At 51.5% G+C, this 17,977-nt stretch overlaps 1 protein-coding gene across 5 annotated transcripts in view, besides 4 other annotated features; it reads right to left on the reverse strand.

Annotated features, from left to right (window-relative positions):
* ACLY (ATP citrate lyase) overlaps positions 1-17,977 on the reverse strand; it is a 63,629-nt gene that overhangs the window by 43,031 nt on the left and 2,621 nt on the right. For 2 of the 5 annotated variants that reach the window (NM_001303275.1, NM_001303274.1), the window contains exons 1-4: positions 8,933-9,075; positions 3,768-3,953; positions 2,473-2,595; positions 275-337 (exon numbers count right to left, since the gene is read on the reverse strand). In NM_001303275.1, the coding sequence (NP_001290204.1) occupies positions 275-337; positions 2,473-2,595; positions 3,768-3,953; positions 8,933-9,067 (507 nt within the window). In that variant the 5' untranslated portion in view covers positions 9,068-9,075. Of the gene's footprint in view, positions 1-274; positions 338-2,472; positions 2,596-3,767; positions 3,954-8,932; positions 9,076-17,977 lie in introns of those variants that run through there. The other 3 variants (NM_198830.2, NM_001096.3, XM_005257395.2) reach the window with 2 other exon arrangements.
* Positions 98-1,297: an enhancer, noted in NCBI's record as "CDK7 strongly-dependent group 2 enhancer chr17:40066298-40067497 (GRCh37/hg19 assembly coordinates)". NCBI's record gives its function as "activates an origin of replication core promoter dependent on BRD2, BRD4, P300/CBP, MED14 and CDK7 cofactors, with strong dependence on CDK7, by STARR-seq in HCT116 cells {active_cell/tissue: HCT116}" and the evidence as "EXISTENCE:reporter gene assay evidence [ECO:0000049][PMID:35650434]".
* Positions 797-1,296: an enhancer, noted in NCBI's record as "H3K4me1 hESC enhancer chr17:40066997-40067496 (GRCh37/hg19 assembly coordinates)". NCBI's record gives its function as "activates a minimal SCP1, AML or CMV promoter by ChIP-STARR-seq in naive H9 embryonic stem cells {active_cell/tissue: H9 hESC(naive)}" and the evidence as "EXISTENCE:reporter gene assay evidence [ECO:0000049][PMID:30033119]".
* Positions 8,407-8,646: a silencer, noted in NCBI's record as "silent region_8504". NCBI's record gives its function as "represses an Ori minimal core promoter by ATAC-STARR-seq in GM12878 lymphoblastoid cells {active_cell/tissue: GM12878}" and the evidence as "EXISTENCE:reporter gene assay evidence [ECO:0000049][PMID:35858748]".
* Positions 9,127-9,386: a silencer, noted in NCBI's record as "silent region_8505". NCBI's record gives its function as "represses an Ori minimal core promoter by ATAC-STARR-seq in GM12878 lymphoblastoid cells {active_cell/tissue: GM12878}" and the evidence as "EXISTENCE:reporter gene assay evidence [ECO:0000049][PMID:35858748]".

The raw sequence follows: 17,977 nt of genomic DNA on the forward strand, positions 1-17,977 counted from the left end.
AGCTGAGGGGTGGGGCCTGCCTGCAGGTCGTTCTCATCCCTGCACTTGGAAGTCCCCTTTGTTACCAGTCCTAACTCCTCTCTGCTGTAGACCAAGCCCTTTCCTTCCCCTCTGGACTCCCGAGTCCGCAGCACCCTCAGATCCTCAGTGCAGCTTCAGGGACCCTGGTCCCTCTGACTGTCCTCATCAGCTTGACTTCTTTCCTCAGGTTACGGTGGACAAACCCAAGGTTCCAGGAGGGAGAAGACCCAGCCTGGAGCCGCCTCACACATACCTGACTGTGGGGGACGAAGGGCTCGATCAGAAAGTTCTTGAGGAAGCCTGTGGCCTTGCCAACCTACAGAAAAATTGAGGGAGATGAAACTCAGAGGGACAGCACGTCTTGCCCCTAGGGCAGAAGGAGGGACTGCACAGGGGTGGTGCCCAAGCACTCCCACCACCACACCCAGCAAAGAGAGATTTTTCCAGAAAAAATGGGGTCACAGATCCCTAAGCTCAGTAAGTCCTCAGGAGATGCCCTTTCACCCCTTGCTCTGGTGCGGGCTGTGCCTGAACAGGCACCGACCTTGCCCACTCTTGGCCTCCTCTGGAGGGTGACACAGGACCTGCGCAAGTGAAAGGGCTCCAACAAGTCACGGCTGTGGCAGAGCTTGACGGGGAGGGGAAACCGGGTAGAAGGGAGGTAACCATTCTGCTTCATGAGCCTTGAGGAAGGCACAGTGACTCAGCCTCAGGACATGGGTCCGGGCGCAGGGAATGGGTGGAGAAGTGGGGAGCCAGGGCTTAATCAGGGAAACTTCTCCACGCAGACTCTCCTGGCTGAGGACCACAGGCCTGCAGAGCTAATCAGTTCGAGTGATTCCCTGGCGGCGGCTGTGGCGAGACAGCCCTCATCCTAGTAAGTCCCAAAACCCCCGCCTGGCCTGTGCGTCACTGCTGAGTCAGGGACCAGACAGCAATCCATAAGAGGTAATGAGCCACTCCTGCTGGCCCAACGCTGCTGCCAGCTCAGATGTCTGATGTCCCACCTTCCCCTCCCAGAGGCCAGCAGAAGGAAGCAGGATGTGCTCCCTGGGGACATGCTCAGCATCCCTCCCTCCAATCCCACCATCCTCTCTCCAAAGGCCTGGGAACTCAAGGGACAGGTCGCTTCACGCCTGGGTCCATGTGCAACTTCAAGGATCCCGCTTTACCCATGAGGGCCAGAAACTGGGAAATTAACATTTAAGGGCTACTCTGAGGAAGCCCAATGAGGGAGGAAGACATCTCCATCACCACCTTCATTGCTATTCTCGAGGCAGCCAAGGAAGAGAACAGCTCATCCCTGGTACAGTTTCACCCCAGATGAGCACCAGGCCCTTCAGAGCCACGTGCTCTACAGAGCCAGGTGTGGATGGCACATTCTTCCCAGGCTAGGCCAGGCCTCAGCTCCACTCCCTCCCTTAGTCCTCCAGCTCCCCTGGGGAATAAGAAGAAACATAATTTTATTCCAGGCATCTCTTACCCTTCCTAAACCATGTTTCACTTTAACTCTCTCATCTACGTGGTTGAAATTCATCACCAAGCTGGGAGAAGTTAATAATTGAATTTGGGCTTGGTGGCACACATCTGTGGTTCCAGCTACATGGGAGGCTGAGGCAGGAGGATTCCCTGAGGCCAGAAGTTCGAGACCAGCCTGGGTAACATTCAAGACCCTAACTCTATAAAAAAATGTTAAAAAGCAGCCTGGATGGTGGCATGCACCTATAGTCCCGGATACTCAGGAAGCTGAGGTGGGAGGATAACTTGAACCTGGGAAGTGGAGGCTGTAGTGAGATGTGAACATGCCACTGCACTACAGCCTTGAGTGACAGTGTGAGACCCTGTCTTAAAAAAAAATAAAGTAGGCCGGGCGCAGTGGCTCATGCCTATAATCCCAGCACTTTGGGAAGCCGAGGCAGGCAGATTACCTGAGGTCAGGAGTTCGAGACCAGCCTGGCCAACATGGAGAAACCTCGTCTCTACTAAAAATACAAAATTAGCCAAGTATGGTGCTGCATGCCTGTAATCTCAGCTACTCAGAAGGCTGGGGCTAGAAAATCGCTTGAACCCAGGAGGCGGAGGTTGCAGTGAGCCAAGATCACGCCACTGCACTCCAGCCTGGGCTACAGAGCAAGACCCTGTCAAAAAAAAAAAAAAAAAGAATCAGACCATTTCCACCTGGCTCTTGAATTATATTGAGGTTACCTCTGCAGCACATCTTGCCCAAACCAATAAAACAAAGAAGTTTGGATGATGAGGGAGCTGGGAATGGGCATCAAGACTGAGCCTACTGCTGGCAGCCACCTGAGTGGGTCAGCGCCACAGGACTCCTGCCTTCCCTGAGCTACAATGAGACTGGCTGTGGGGGTGATCCACAGAGCTGCTGACCTGGAGGTGACCATATTTGCTTCTGTTACCACACACGTTCATCCTGACCCCATGCCCACTCACTGTGGCTTCCTGTCCCAGCCGTGGCTTCAGCCAGGACTTGACCCCATCCAGAGTGAGGTTGACCCCAACGAGACCAAGTTTTCCACGACGTTTGATCAGCTGGTCTGGCTTGACTACCAAGTTCTGGAACAAAAGCGGTTTGTATTTAGAGTGAGGAAGAATTAGATAAACCGTAGTATTTTGGGGATCCAAATAGAGGACAGCAGGGATTGACTTCCCATTCACTCTGCTCCAAAGCCAGCCCTAACCATCCTTCAGAGTCAACTCCTGGATGCTTCCTCCACCTACCCTAGCCAATATCTTGCTTTTGACAACCAGGTATCTAGAGGCATTTGTGCCCAGATGGAGCCTGGCACAGAGTAGGCGCTCAGCAAATACCTGCTGAGTGAATAAGTGATTCTCTACCCTCCCTATGTGATACATTAGCTTCTTCATTCAACAGTAAGCCCCTCAGAATATGGACCAGAACATGTGTTCCAAAGAGGAAAACAGAGAGACAGAGCCTTGAGGCAGCAAGGAACCTTAGAGGTCATCTGGTCAACCCCATCCCTGTGCTTGAACCCTGTCTACAACAGGCCCAATAAGCAGCCCCTAACCACTGCTCATACATCTCCAGGGCCAGGAAACTCCCTCCATCCCTTTGTGGTTGAGCTGCCTCCTAGTGGGAAGAAACACCACCACTAGTCCTAGGCTTACTCTCTGAGCCCTGCCAAGGAAATCTAAGAGCTTTCTAACAATGGCCCTGCAAAGATCTCAAGAACAGAGCCCTCTATTCCAGGCTGACCCTCCAGGGTCGGGGCCATTCTTCACAAAGTACAACATCACACTTCCTAATTGCCTTGATACATTCCTGATATACTCCACTTAGGGGAGGAGAGGGCACATCCCTACTTTTTACTGAGCATCTACCATGTGCCAGGCACCAAGCACGCTAAATGCTTCTTGCTAATCTTTACAGCTCAAAGTGAGTATTATCCCATTGGAGAGATGGGGAATCTAAAACTCAAAAGAGGTGAAATGGCTTGCCCCAGGCCACATGGTTAATAAACACAGCTTTGATTTGGACACCAGTTTGTCCAGTTTCAAGCCCATGGCAGGGTATACCATGCTGGGGTACCTCAACATGCAGGGCTCAGCATGAACACAAACCCTGCTCAGCCCATGGCATGCTTCCCACAGCTGCTGCTGGCAGCCTCCAACCCCATGACCCTATCGGCATCACCAACAAACCAATGGCTTTCTCTTCCTCAGACCCCGGGCCTGGAAGAAAGGCCCAAAGTGGAGGCAGGGCTCACCTGGCTGAGCAGCCAGGGGTGGTCCTGCAGCAAGCGGGCCCAGTCTGTGTCAGGAGTGACCCGAGCATACTTGAACCGATTCTGGATGGCTGAGGTGGTACAGATGAACTTGTAAAGGAGTTCTTTGCCCGTCTGCTCTGAAATTGCCTTGGCCGACATGGCTGCAGAGAGACCTGCTCTACCTGTCTGGGAGAGAGAAGCTGGTCAGAAGGGGGCAGGCGTGTGGAGGCACTATCTTCCCCAGCAGGGCAGACCCACTCCCAGTTGCCCCCAGACAATAAAACCAGATCTCAGCTTTTCTCAAGAGGAAGGAAAAAATGCTGTCCCAGCGGGAGGGATGGAAGAGAGATATCAAGCAGCACTTTTGCCAGCAGAGGAAGAAGATCCAGAGATAATGGGTGAGGGAAGATAGAGAAAAACAAAAGTGCCATTTCCCCTGGGACTCTTGCCTTACCCTGCCCCATTCCCTCTAGGCAAACTAGCTGATCCACAACCACACTCATCCTGGAGCAAAAGGCAGCTGGCTAGAAGGCCAAGAAAACCGGTGCTTTGACCCAAATCTGAGTGCTGGTCCCATCTGAGGTGGGCAGACACTGAAACACCTTTCTGTTCTCTGACCAGTGCAGAGTACGGCTGAAATTGCAAAAGGCTAGCCTTTCTCTCCCTACAGGTTTCATCTCCCCCACACCCAGATTTACCCCTATACACACCCTTACACACCACCGGGCCAATGGCCAAGCCAGCAAGTTTACTTAGCCTCAAAAAGGGTCACACCCCCAGGTCCTGGTTAGAAGGGGAGTAGGGGAGGGGGGAGGATCATCGCTAAGCTCTTTTCTCCTCTTTTCTCCTGGACACTAGCCTCCCAATCCTGAGTATGGAGCAGACACAGGGCAGGGAAACCGACCTTTAGCACATTCCACCCGCCCCACTGCGTCATCCAGCTGCTAATTTAGAGCAAAACTCACTAAGAAGAACAGATGCCTCTCTGGGGACCACCCTGTAGTGGTCACTTCTAACTGGGGCGGACTGAGAGGAGGAGGAGGAAGAGGCAGAAACCATCCTCCATCACATGTATAGGAAAACTCATCTTGGAGTTCGAGGCTACAGTGAGCTATGATTGCACCGCTGCACTGTAGCCTGGGTGTCAGAGCAAGACCTTGTGTCTAAAAAAAGATAAAAAGAAACTCATCTCATATGAGCTCTGGGAGGTACACTGAGATTTATAACCCCATTTCTTAGATGAGGAATAAAATCTCAGAGGCGTTAGGATAACTTGCCCAAGAAGCCCACCTAATAATAAGCAAGGTTATGACCCAAGACTCGAACCCAAACCCTCTTACACCTAGGTCCCCAGAAAAATCCACACCAGCCCAAGAAAAGACCATTTTTCCAAGAGCCAGGCCCATGTGTCCTTTTCACTTCAAAGAGTCTATGATAAGAATTTCATCATCTCCCCTCTCCAAGACTCTGTCCTGATACACCCATTCTCCTGTGGGTAACTCAAGGACTGAGCTGGGGAGGGGAATCGGGGGAGGTGGGCATGGAAATTCAGGCCAAGAGCTTGGCCGGATCAGGAAAAGTCACTCCTGACTCCCCCAAAGCCCAGAAGCAAAGCTGTTTAATTTGCTGGGGGAGAAAAAAGTCAAGTACAAATAAAGGAGGGCAGAGTGAAGGAGCCGGCTTGTTTACACGTGCTGGAAGTTGGGTCTCCGTTCCCAACTCAGAGAAGGCCAACATTCCAGGGGCTACATTGCGCCCCCTCCCAATCGGCCAGGCTGGTGGGGCTTCAGGTTCTCATCCTGGCTTGGCTGCCTCTGTCGGCCTCCTAGCTAGTATCCAGCATGGCACAATGGGTGTATTCAGCCTGGTGTCTGCCTAAAGTGGGGTAGCTGGGAAGGGGCTCAGAGATGTTCCCTTTTCTGGCCTTCCCCTGGAATGACTTGAGATTCCTTCTCAGTATGAGTTTCCAGAGACGTCCCAACCACCTCACTGCCCCACGGTCCTCCACCCCCCACCCACTGCTCCATTTCCCAATATTTTTGACTCAGACCAGAAAAACTGGTCCTCAGATTGAATGGGTACAGCCCCCACCCCCTTCCAAAGAGAGTGCAGCCCAGGGCAGATCAAGGAACACTCAGAGAGGAGGGGGCAGTGGCTGACCATCCTCAGCAATTCAGACTCCTTCCATAACTCCAGGGGAAAGGAAGTCCCTGGGCTATGCCTCTCTAGAAGAAAGAAGTCTGAGACTCCCAGTAAAACAGTCCCCTGAACCTGGCACCTCCAAAACAGACACAAGACCCAACTTTGGAAAGGACAAGGGAGAAAAAATGGACCCCTGCAGCTGAGAAATCACAGTTTTCTTGAGACCCAGATCAAATTTCAGGTCCAAGAGCCCATCTCCATAGGGTCTTTGGAAGGGGGATAGGAGAGAAGACACAATGGGATAATACAGGATAGAAAACAAGAGATTTGCCACTAGAGCATTCTGGCTTAGAGACGGGAGGTTGAGACAAGGAATGTATACAACATAATAAAAATAAGGCCTCTGCAAATTCACCAATAAAGAGAAGGCAAATGGCTCACAAACCCAGGGAGTGGACTCAGTAGAGATAAATCGCAACTTTAGTGGTTCAGTGAGGTCTTCTGTTTTTTTGTTTTGTTTTGTTTTTTTTTTTTTGAGAAGGACTCTGGCTCTGTCGCCCAGGCTGGCGTGCAGTGGAGTGATCTCGGCTCACTGCAACCTCAGCCTCCCAGGTTCAAGTGATTCTCCTGCCGCAGCCTCCTGAGTAGCTGGGATTACAGATGCACGCCACCACGCCCATCTAATTTTTTTTGTATTTTTAGTAGAGGCGGGGTTTCACCATGTTGGTCAGGCTGGTCTCGAACTCCTGACCTCGTGATCCACCCACCTCAGCCTCCCAAAGTGCTGGGATTTACAGGCATGAGCCACCACGCCCGGCCTTCAGTGAGGTCTTAAAGTCTCTCTAAGGCAGTGGCTCTTAACCTCTTTGAGGCCTCAGACTCTTCTGAGACTGAAAAAAACCCCAGAAAAAGGTACACAAATCCAATTGTGCATATTGTTTCAAGGTGCTCACCTGTGACAATGATCCGATGGCCCACAGACTGACCACCAGTTAAGAACATTTGCGGCCAGGCACGGTGGCTTGCGCCTGTAATCCCAGCACTTCGGGAGGCCAAGGAGGGCAAATCACGAGGTCAGGAGTTTGAGACCAGCCTGGCCAATATGGTGAAACCCTGTTTCTACTAAAAATACAAAAATTAGCCGGGCGTGGTGGTGCACACCTGTAGCTACTGGGGAGGCTGAGGCAGGAGAATCGCTAGAACCCAGGAGGCGGAGGTTGCAGTGAACCGAGATCCACCACTGCACTCCAGCCTGCCGACAGAGCAAGACTCTGTCTCAAAAAAAAAAAAAAAAAAAAAAGAATATTTGCTCTAGTGGAATCAGCAAATACCTACAAATACCTATCTGGGTTTGGGACCGCTCCCCAGAACGTCTTAGTCTGCCTCCCCAGTAGCTGAATGTGCTGTCAAACAAGTAACAGATGATTGGGCTGAGCTTGGACTCCAGGAACTGTTACTTGGTAACAGCTAAATGTGTAAACCATTTGGGGGAAATCATGCCAAGGAACCTGAAAACACACACATACACACATTCTCTAAGGGAGGGGCCTTATGAGCTGAATGGAGTCTTTCTGCAGACGGGTGAGTGACCCAGGATTGAGTTCACTTTTAGCAGACACTGAGAGAAGCAGCCCACACAGGAGGCTGAATGAAAGAAGCCTGTTCCCCAGAACACGCCCCTGGGACACAGCCAGGGGAAGGGAATCACTGGGGATGCTACTAAGGGTGCCTCTGGGAAAGACAAAAACACTCATTTGAAGGTTAGTATCTGCAGGATTGGGACTTACGTATGTAGGTATTTATTTATTTATTTTTTGAGAAGACAGGCAATCCCTGGAGTAAATTCTAGAGAGGCAGAATTCTGTGAGTGCCCCTTACTGCGGCAGGCATAGTGTCAGAACGGGGATGGAGCCATAAGCTGTCCAGTGTCTGAGGGGTCTTCCCACTACCGCCCCCCAAGCTGTTTAGGAAGGTTTCTAAGAGGTGAAAATCACCCATCTGGGCAAATGAGACCTACCAGCTGTCCCTCACCCCACATTTTAGTTCAGCTGAGCCAGCTGAAAACACAGAGGAAAGTTAAGGGTGGAGAGGAGTAGGCTAGCTGGCCAAACTGTGCTGTGCACTTTTCCTTATCGTCTCTTCCAAAATCCTCTTCCCAGGAAGACCTCCAGGGACCCCATAACGGCAGAACTCGGCACTGCACGGTATCTGCCAAGGTTGGAGACCGCGGCAGGCGCTGGGACTGGCCCATTGCCAGGCTCGACAGGAGGGCGGCGGCAGCATCCTCCAGCCCCTTGAGGACCTTTCCCCGGCCAGACTTGGCGTCAGCTCAAGGGTGGGGTGGCACCCCGGCCATCTGTCACTTAGGGGCTGGACTCGACGATACCTCCAGTGCGAGGAGGGTCCTTGCTGCGAGATTCCAGTCCTCGCGGCGAGACGAGGCGAGGCCTCGGGCACCCTGGGGCAGCCTGGCCCCGCGTGGCCCGCCCCGGAGGCGCGCATAGCTCATTCTCTCCACTTGGGCGTGGAGCTCAATTTTGTACCCACGGAACCAAGAAGGGCCTGAGCCCGGCCAGTGAGGAATCGGAGTGGGACCAGTCGCCACCGCTTTCTCTACTTCCCGTCCCGGCATCCGATGGGGGAACCCGGATGGAGCCAAAAGGCGTCCCGATGAGCCCGAGGAGCCTCGATAGCTGTGCCCGGGAGGGGTGAGGCGCGCCAGGAGGGGGACCATGCAATGTGGCAGAGGCAGAAGAGGCAAGGATGGCGGCAAGCCCCATGCAAACTCCCAGGAACTGGAATATGTGTGTGTCGCGCGGGGGGAGGGGAGGGGCGTCGACACGCGGCCACCGGCCGGGACCCCGGGCGAAGGCTAACCTAAAGCTAAGACCCTCAAAACTTCCGAGCAGGGCGCGTGGGCACCGAGCCCGCGTCGGGGAAGGCGGTTCCGGGTTGGGGGACGGAGGCAGGAAGCTCCTAGGGCGAGCGGGCTCCAGCCAGCGAAAACAGCCTCCCGTGCTCACCTCTGCCGAAGTCCGTGCGCGGCGCTTCTTCCACAGGCCCGACGAACCCCGCAAAATCCGGAGCACCCCAGCAGCCGGTAGCTTCCCGGGATCCGGCTTTTGTCCCGGCCCAGCCGGACTTTTCCCCGCCCCCATCGGCTCGCGGCGAGAACGGCCCCGCGATTGGCCACACGCGTTCCCTAGCCTGAGCGCCAGGGCTCCTCCCAATTCGCTGCTGGCTTGGCTCCGCCCCACGAGGGCGGGCCCCGGGGCCTGCTGGGACTTGTAGTCCCGCTGGCCCATCCACCGCCTCTTGGGAGCCTGCGGGGCCGGGGCGGGGCCCCGGGTGGGGAGATGGGCCGGGCTAGGCTGGGAGGAGAACGCGCGGTGCTGGGGGTTGTGGCCTGATCGCTTGAGGGGCTGGACAGATTGCCACTCGGGGAGTTGGGGGAGGGGCGGGTAGGATTAGCCCAACTGGCTGTAACGCAGCTTTGGGACCTGGAGTACCCTTGCTCCTTCCCTTGGGAGAAACGGACGTCTGCATCTCGGCCGCACCGAATCCGATTGCTTAGACAGTCTCCTTAAGCAGCAGTGTCTGGCAGGCCGCTTTCCTTTAGCACGTGGAGCCTCTCTCCTCCCTGGACTCTCCCCACTGGGCCGATGAGGCAAGGCTGAGCCGAGGCTAACAGAGCATACTTCCCAGTGTGGGATAAGGCAGGGGCCGCGGTAAGCAAGTGGGGCTAGGAGGGTGCAGGCACAGCGCTGTCCGTCCCACTCACCTGCTCGCCTCAGCACGGATCAGGGCGGAGCTAGGAATTCAATGCGAGATTCCAGCGAAGGGCTGGAGCCATCCCAGACAGTCTCTTGTTCCCACCAACCACAGGCTTAGACACTGGAATGAATGAACTGCTGTCTCCCCCTTCTCCATTACCTGAGACAGATCGAATTTTCCAAACCAAAAACTGGGACATCCAATCTGACAGGTGCTGGTGAACTTGTGGGGCAGAATATGTGAAATCAGTCCTGGAAATCAGGACATGTATTTACCACTCTGACATGCTGCAGCCTCCCTCCCTACCTGCACCCCAACCCTGTAGGTCCGGAGCTGCTCCCTAAGCCTAACAGCTGTCTAGCTCCAGGAAGGAGGCCAAAAGCGTCCACTGACCGACTCAGGTGAAGAGGTCAGCCCAGAATGCAGGGAAGCAGCAGGCCTGTCCCCCTGCCAAGCACTTTGGGTCATACTCACACTGCAACAGTGTTGCGACATTTGCAGACAAAATCTTCTCCAAGACCCCCTCCCCCAATCCTGTTGCTGCCAGGAGTAAGGTAACTGAACTTGCTACCCATGCCTGAATCAAGTGTTCCCTGATGATGTCACTTTCTGGTCCCTTCCCTCCCATTCATCTTTTTGAAATAGCAGTTCCTTATCACCTCTCTTCTCTTGTCCTAAAATGGGGGTGGCCAGTCTTGGTGGCTCACACCTGTAATCCCAGCACTTTGGAAGGCCAAGGTGGGGGATCACTTGAGGTCAGGAGTTCAAGACCAACAAGGCAAAACCCCATCTCTACAAAAAATACAAAAATTAGCCAGGCATGGTGGCACACGCCTATAAATCCCAGCTACTCTTGAGGTTGAGGCATGAGAATCGCTTAAACCCGGGAGGTGGAGGTTGCAGTGAGGTGAGATTGCACCACTGCACTCCAACCTGGGTGACAGAGAAGGATTCTATCTCAAAAAAAAAAAAAAAAAAAAAAAGATACACTCCAGGCAAGGCATGCTGTCTCATGCCTGTAATCCCAGAATTTTGGAAGGCCAAGTCAGGCAGATTGCTAGAGCCCAGAAGTTCAAGTACAGCCTGGGTAACATGGTAAGAGCCCCCACCACCACCATCAAATCTCTACAAAAAATAAAAAGACCGGGCGTGGTGATTCACATGCCTGTAATCCCAGCAATTTGGGAGGCCTAGGTGGGTAGATCACCTGAGTTCGAGGTCAAGCGTTCCAGACCAGCCTGGCCAACAGGTGAAACCCTGTTTCTACTAAAAATACAAAAAATTAGCTGGGCGTGGTGGCAGGTGCCTGTAATCCCAGCTACTCAGGAGGCTGAGTCAGGAGAATCGCTTGAACCCAGGAGGCGGAGGCAGGAGAATCGCTTGAACCCAGGAGGCGGAGGCAGGAGAATCGCTTGAACCCAGGAGGCGGAGGTTGCAGTGAGCCGAGATCGCACCAGTGCACTCTAGCGGGGGCAACAAGACCAAAACTCCATCTCAAAGCAAAAAAAAAAAAAAAATTTAGCTGGGCACTGTATCGGGTGCCTGTAATCTCAGCTACCTGGGAGGCTGAGGCAGGAGAATTGCTTGAACCCAGGAGGCAGAGGTTGCAGTGAGCAGAGATCGTGCCATTGCACTCCAGCCTGGGCCACAGAGTGAGACTCCGTCTCAAAACAAAACAAAACAAAACAAAAAAATAAACAAAAATTAGCAGGGCATGGTGGTGCACACCTGTAGTCCCAGCTACTTGGGAGACCGAGGTGGAAGGATCACTTGAGTCCAGGAGATCAAGGCTGCAGTGAGCTGAGATTGTGCACTCCAGCCTGGGCGACAGGGTGTGACCCTGTCTCAGAAAAAAAAAAAAAAAACAAAAAAGAAAAAAAGGAAAAGAAAAGAAAGAAGGAAGGAAGGAAATACTCCTGGGAGGCCAGGTGCATAGGCTCAGGCCTGTAATCCCATCACTTTGAGAGGCCAAGGAGGGCTTGAGCCCAGGAGTTCCAACCCAGCCTTGGCAATACAGTGAGTCTATGTCACTACAAAAAATAAAAAATTAGCTGGGCAGCTGGGCATGCTGGCTCACGCCTATAATCCGAGCACTTTGGTAGGCCAAGGTGGGAAAATCACTTGCGTCCAGGAGTTCAAAACCAGCCTGGGCAACATAGTGAGTCACTGTCTCAAAAAAAAAAAATTAGCTAGGCATGGTGGCACACACCTGTAGTCCAAGCTACTCAGGAGGCAGAGGTGGGAGAATCACTTGAGCCCAGGAGGTCAAAGACGCAGTGAGCTGGGTGGGCACGGTGGCTCGAGCCTGTAATCCCAGCACTTTGGGAGGCTGAGGCAGGCAGATCACTTGAGGCCAGGAGTTCGAGACCAGCCTGGCCAACATGGCAAAACCCATCTCTACTAAAAATACAAAAAATTAGCTGGATGTGGTGGCACATGCCTGTAATCCCAGTTACTCGGGAGGCTGGCTGGGTGCAGTGGCTCACGCCTATAATCCCAACACTTGGGGAGGCCGAGGCGGGCGGATCACAAGGTCAGGAGATTGAGACTATCCTGGCTAACAAAGTGAAACCCAAGCTCTACTAAAAATACAAAAAAAATAGCCGGGCATGGTGGCACGTGCCTGTAGTCCCAGCTACTCAGGAGGCTGAGGCAGGAGAATCGTTTGAACCCAGGAGGCGGAGGTTGCAGTGAGCCGAGATCACGCCACTGCACTCCAGGCTGGGTGACAGAGCGAGACAAAAAAAAAAAAAAAAAAAAAAGATGCAGTCAGCCGTGACTGCACCACTGAACATCAGCCTGGGTGACAGAGTGAGACCCTGTATGAGAAAAAAAAAAAGAAAGACAAATACACTCCTGGGGAAATGGTCATCCAGGCGGGACATAAAATATAATAAACTCTTTGAAGGTCAATTTGGTAATATCAGTAAACATTTTAAATTCACTTGCCCTTTGGTCCAGTAATTCCACTTCTAATAATTTATCCTTCAGATATACTTGCGTATGTGCATGACGAAGATAGGGATCTTTGTCTATTTTCTTCATTGCTGTATTTCTAGCAGTTTAAATAGGGACTGGTTACACAGTAAGTACTCAATAAATGTTTGCTGAATGATTGTCCTCCATTTAGGTGTTGCTAGGCCTAAGTTTGACTATTCCTGGGCAGGAACAACAAAAAATAACTGTCCAGAGAGTGAGGGGGAAGAGGTGCTGGCCAGAGGGCCCATGAGCCAGCCACTGAGGTTTTCCAGTTCACTCAGTGGTCTCATACCAAGTTTCTGCCCCCAACGCCCAGCCTCCTCAAGTAAGACTCTCTCATTACCCCACCATGCACCCACAGAGGTTCATCTGCCTTGAATTAATCAATCTAGAACCCATCTTCTCATCATTCTATTTTCTAACTTAAAAGCTCTAAACCAGGCTGGGTGCAGTGGCTCACGCCTGTAATCCCAACACTTTGGGAGGCCAAGGCGGGTGGACTGCCTGAGCTCAGGAGTTCAAAACCAGTCTGGCTAACATGGCAAAACCCCCATCTCTACAAAAAATAAAAAATAAAATAAAAGCTCTAAACTCTTTTGATTTTCCCATTTGAATCACCTCCCTCCTCTTCTAGACTGGACTAGAGGACAGGTCCCTATCAGAATACAGAGGGTTATAGGCACCATCTCCAAGCCCAGGTTTGGGCATTCCACCTGGGTTCCAGAAGCCTAAAACTGGCTAAGGACTTCCTCCTAGATTTGGACCAATTTTAGTTAATATTTATTGAGCACCTACTATGTGAAAGGCATACTACTCACAGCAGCCACTTGAGCTAACTAAGTGTTTTCATCATTTTGCCTATGATCAACTAACCTAATGATCTTCAGACTCCAAGTCCTTGGGCCTGTACCCTGCAACCTGCTGCAGGTGAGTAAGAGGGAAAGATCCTATCCAGTGGATCTCCTTTATCTGACTGTAAGCAACCCAAGGCCTAGGAGAGTGCCTTGTTCATTTTGGCATCTCCAGTGCCTAGCATGGGACTGGACACATATTAAGCATTCACTGTAAACATGACTAAAAAAAGGCTCTTATAATATGTGAATGAAAGAAAGCAATTGTAGGGGAAGGGCAGGGAGAGGAGGGAGGAGATGCAGCCTGGAGAAGGGTCTACCTAAGTGTCCAGTTCTACTATTTTTTTGTTTGTTTGTTTGTTTGTTTTGAGAGGGAGTCTCACCCTGTCACCCAGGCTGGAGTGCAATGGTGTGATCTGGGCTCACTTCAACCTCCACCTCCCAGGTTCAAACGATTCTCCTGCCTCAGCCTCCTGAGTAGCTGGGATTACAGGTGCCCGCCACCATGCCCAGCTAATTTTTCTATTTTGAGTAGAAATGAGGTTTCGCCATGTTGGCCAGGCTGGTCTTTAACTCCAGACCTCATGATCCGCCTGCCTCGGCATCCCAATGTGCTGGGATTACAGGTGTGAGCCACCACGCCCGGCCCAGTTCTACTATTTTTTTCTTTTTATTTATTTATTTTTTATTTATTTATTTTTTGAGACTGAGTCTCGCTCTGTCACCCAAGCTAGAGTGCAGTGGCGTGATCTCGGCTCACTGCAACCTCCGCCTCCTGGGTTCAAGTGATTCTCCTGTCTCGCCCTCCCAAGTAGCTGAGACTACAGGCACGTGCCACCACACCCGGCTGATTTTTTTTTTTATTTTTAGTAGAGATGGGGTTTCACCATGTTAGCCAGGATGGTCTCAATCTCCTGACCTCGTGATCCGCCCGCCTCAGCCTCCCAAAGTGCTAGGATTACATGCGTGAGCCACCGTGCCCGGCTACTATTTTTTTCAAATGCATTTTCTGTTTATGTAGAGTATCCAGTTCTAAACCCACCTCTCTCCTTGTAACAGCCCAAGACAGGAGCTTCCAGCAAAGCCCCATCATCATCCACCCTGTGAAGAGCCAAGGATTCTAACTTCCGCACCACTCACTTTTGCCCAGTACTGACAAACCTTCCATCAGAGCTAAGGGCCTGTGTGTCCTGGGGAAGGCTCTCCAGGGAGATGCAGCCAGGGCCCCTCTCTCTAACCCGACAGAGGCTGCCTGCCACCAGGGAAGCTGGAGGGATGGCTAGTTCCACTCCTGGGCAGCAGTTATCTCTCTGGGGATGCAGCATCTGTGCTCAGGGAATAAAGTTTCTCCATGCAGCCCAACCAGGTCCAGGCTGGCCCCTTCCCAGAGTCACCCCCACTCCATTCTGACTCTCTCTCAAAAACTGCCACTGCCTCCTCCCCACCAGGTATGTTCCTATAAAATTCCCTCCTCTTTCAGGAAGAACCTGTGCAGCCCCTCCCACACACATAAATCACTTACCCTTGACTTTTACATATGACACGTTTAAACTTATCTCTGAATGAGTTTATTATTATTATTATTATTATTTTGAGATGGAGTTTCACTCTTTTGCCCAGGCTGGAGTGAAGTGGCGCGATCTCCGCTCACTGCAACCTCTGCCTTCTGGGTTCAAGCGATTCTCCTGCCTCAGCCTCCCAAGAAGCTGGGGTTACAGGCGCCCACCACCACACAGGGTGGTGGAGGTTCAGCGAGCCGAGATCCTGCAACTGCCCTCCACCCTGGGCGACAGAGCGAAACTCTGTCTCAAAATAAATAAATAAATGAAAATAAAAAAATAAAAGGAGTCTTCTGGCCAGGCATGATGGTTCATGCCTGTAATTCCAGCATTTTGGGAAGCCAAGGCAGGAGGATTGCCTGAGCTCAAGAGTTCAAGACCAGCCTGGGCAACATTGCAAAACACCTTCTCTACCAAAAAAAAAAAAAAAAAAACCCAAAAATTAGCAGGGTGTGATGGCATGCACCTGTAGTTCCAGCTACTGGGGAGGCTGAGGTGGGAGGATTGCTTGAGCCCAGGAGGGTGGAGGTTGCAGTGAGCCGAGATTGTGCCACTGCACTCCAGCCTTTATTTAGACACTCTGTCTAAATAAATAATAAATAAATAAAAGTAATCTTCTGACTGTTGTGTTGAGAAGGAAGTGGGGGAGGGGAGGCCAAGGAGACCCACTTAGAAGGATGTTGAAGTAATCCAGGAGAGAGATGATGAGGGCTCACAGTGAAGGCAGTAGTTACCTGGAGAGGGAGCTGTGAGTGGAGAGAGGCCTTTCACAGGACCCCCTGCTAGCAATATGTTTCTTGATTTACCTGTGTGATGACTACATAGGTGTACTTTTTTTTTTTTGAGAGAGAGTCTTGCTCTGTCGCCCAGGCTGGAGTGCAGTGGTGTGATCATGGCTCACTGCAACCTCTGCCTCTCGGGTTCAAGTGATTCTCCTGCCTCGGCCTCTGGTACAGCTGGGATTACAGGTGTGTGCCACCACACCAGGCTAATTTTTGTATTTTTGGTAGAGATGGGGCTTCACCATGTTGGCCAGCCTGGTCTTGAACTCCCGACTCGAGGTGATCTGCCTGCCTTGGCCTCCGAAAGTGCTGGGATTACAGGAGTGAGCCACCACGCCCGGCCAGACATGTATGTTTATTTACTTATGTTCTATTTCACAATAAAAGAAGAAATAAAGCAATAACATGAGGAACATAGCTATAAATGGCTGGGACACACTGGAATCCAATTCTAGCACTCTTTATCCTGCTAATCGAACCCAAGGAATAGGCCCCAACCCAGCTCACTTATATCCTTGTGCTGTAGCCTGGAGCAAACCTTGTCATTTCTCTCAGCCTCAGAGTTTCTCATCTGTGAAACCAGGAAACCACTGACTGGCTCTTTACTTCACTAGGGTGTTGTCAAGCTCACAGTGCTTTATAAATTGCCAGAAAGCACACATTATGATTGGTATTTTATGGTTTTTGTTTTGTTTTGTTTTTTTGAGATGAAATCTCATTCTTGTTCCCCAGGCTGAAGTGCAATGGCACGATCTTGGCTCACTGCAACCTCCACCTCCCAGGTTCAAGCGATTCTCGTGCCTCAGCCTCCCGAGTAGCTGGGATTACAGGTGCCTGCCACCATGTCCGGCTAATTTTTGTATTTTTAGTAGAGACAGGGTTTCACCATGTTGGCCAGGCTGATCTTGAACTCCTGACCTCAGGTGATCCGCCCGCCTCGGCCTCCCAAAGTGCTGGGATTATAGGCATAAGCCACCACGCCAGGCCTTATTGTGTTTTTAAAACAGCTTTCTTAATATATAATTAATGTACAATAAACTGCACATAAAGTGTACAATTTGATGAGGTTTTTGGTCTTTTTTTTGAGATGGAGTTTCACTGTTGTTGCCCAGGCTGGAGTGCAATGGCACGATCTTGGCTCATCACAACCTCCGCCTCCCAGGTTCACGTGATTCTCCTGCCTCAGCCTCCCGAGTAACTGGGATTCCAGGCATGTGCCATCACGCCCAGCTAATTTTGTATTTTTAGTAGAGACAGGGTTTCTCCATGTTGGTCAGGCTGGTCTTGAACTCCCGAACTCAGGTGATCCACCCACCTCAGCCTCCCAAAGTACTAGGATTACAGGCTTGAGCCACCATGTCTGGCCAATTTGATGAGTTTTAATACATGTATATACCTGTGAAACAATTACCACAATCAAGATAATGAACATATTCCTCACCTCCATGAGTTTCCCTGTACTCCTTTGTAATCTACCCCTCACTTCCCTACTGCCATGTTCCCAGGCAGTTAGTCTGCATTTTCTAGAATTGTATTTTATTTGAGATGTGATGTCACTATGTTGCTCAGGCTGGAGTGCAGTGGCCTGATCATAGCTCAACCGTGTTAGCCAGGATGGTCTTGATCTGCCCGCCTGGGCCTCCCAAAGTGCTGGGATTACAGGTGTGAGCTACCACACCCGGCCACATTTAAATATTTCTAGTTAATTTTTGTATATGGTATGAGGTAAGGATCAAGGTTTAGACTAGGCGCAGTGGCTCATGCCTGTAATCACAGCACTTTGGGAGGCTAAGGTGGGTGGATTACCTGAGGTCAGAAGTTCGAGATTAGCCTGGCTAACACAGTGAAACCCTGTCTCTACCAAAAATATGAAAATTAGCCGGGCATGGTGGTGCACACCTGTAGTCCCTGCTACTTGGGAGGCGGAGGCAGAAGAATCACTTGAACCTGGGAGGCAGAGGTGGCAGTGAGCTGAGATCACGCCACTGCACTCCAGCCTGGGTGACAGAGTGAGACTCCATCTCAAAAAAAAAAAAACTCAATATTTATATTTAGACAGGCATGGTGGCTCACATCTGTAAGCCTGGCACTTTGAGAGGCCGCGGTGGGAGGATTGCTTGAGT

Source organism: Homo sapiens, chromosome 17 (genome assembly GCF_000001405.40).
Source record: "Homo sapiens chromosome 17, GRCh38.p14 Primary Assembly".
NCBI lineage: Eukaryota > Metazoa > Chordata > Mammalia > Primates > Hominidae > Homo > Homo sapiens.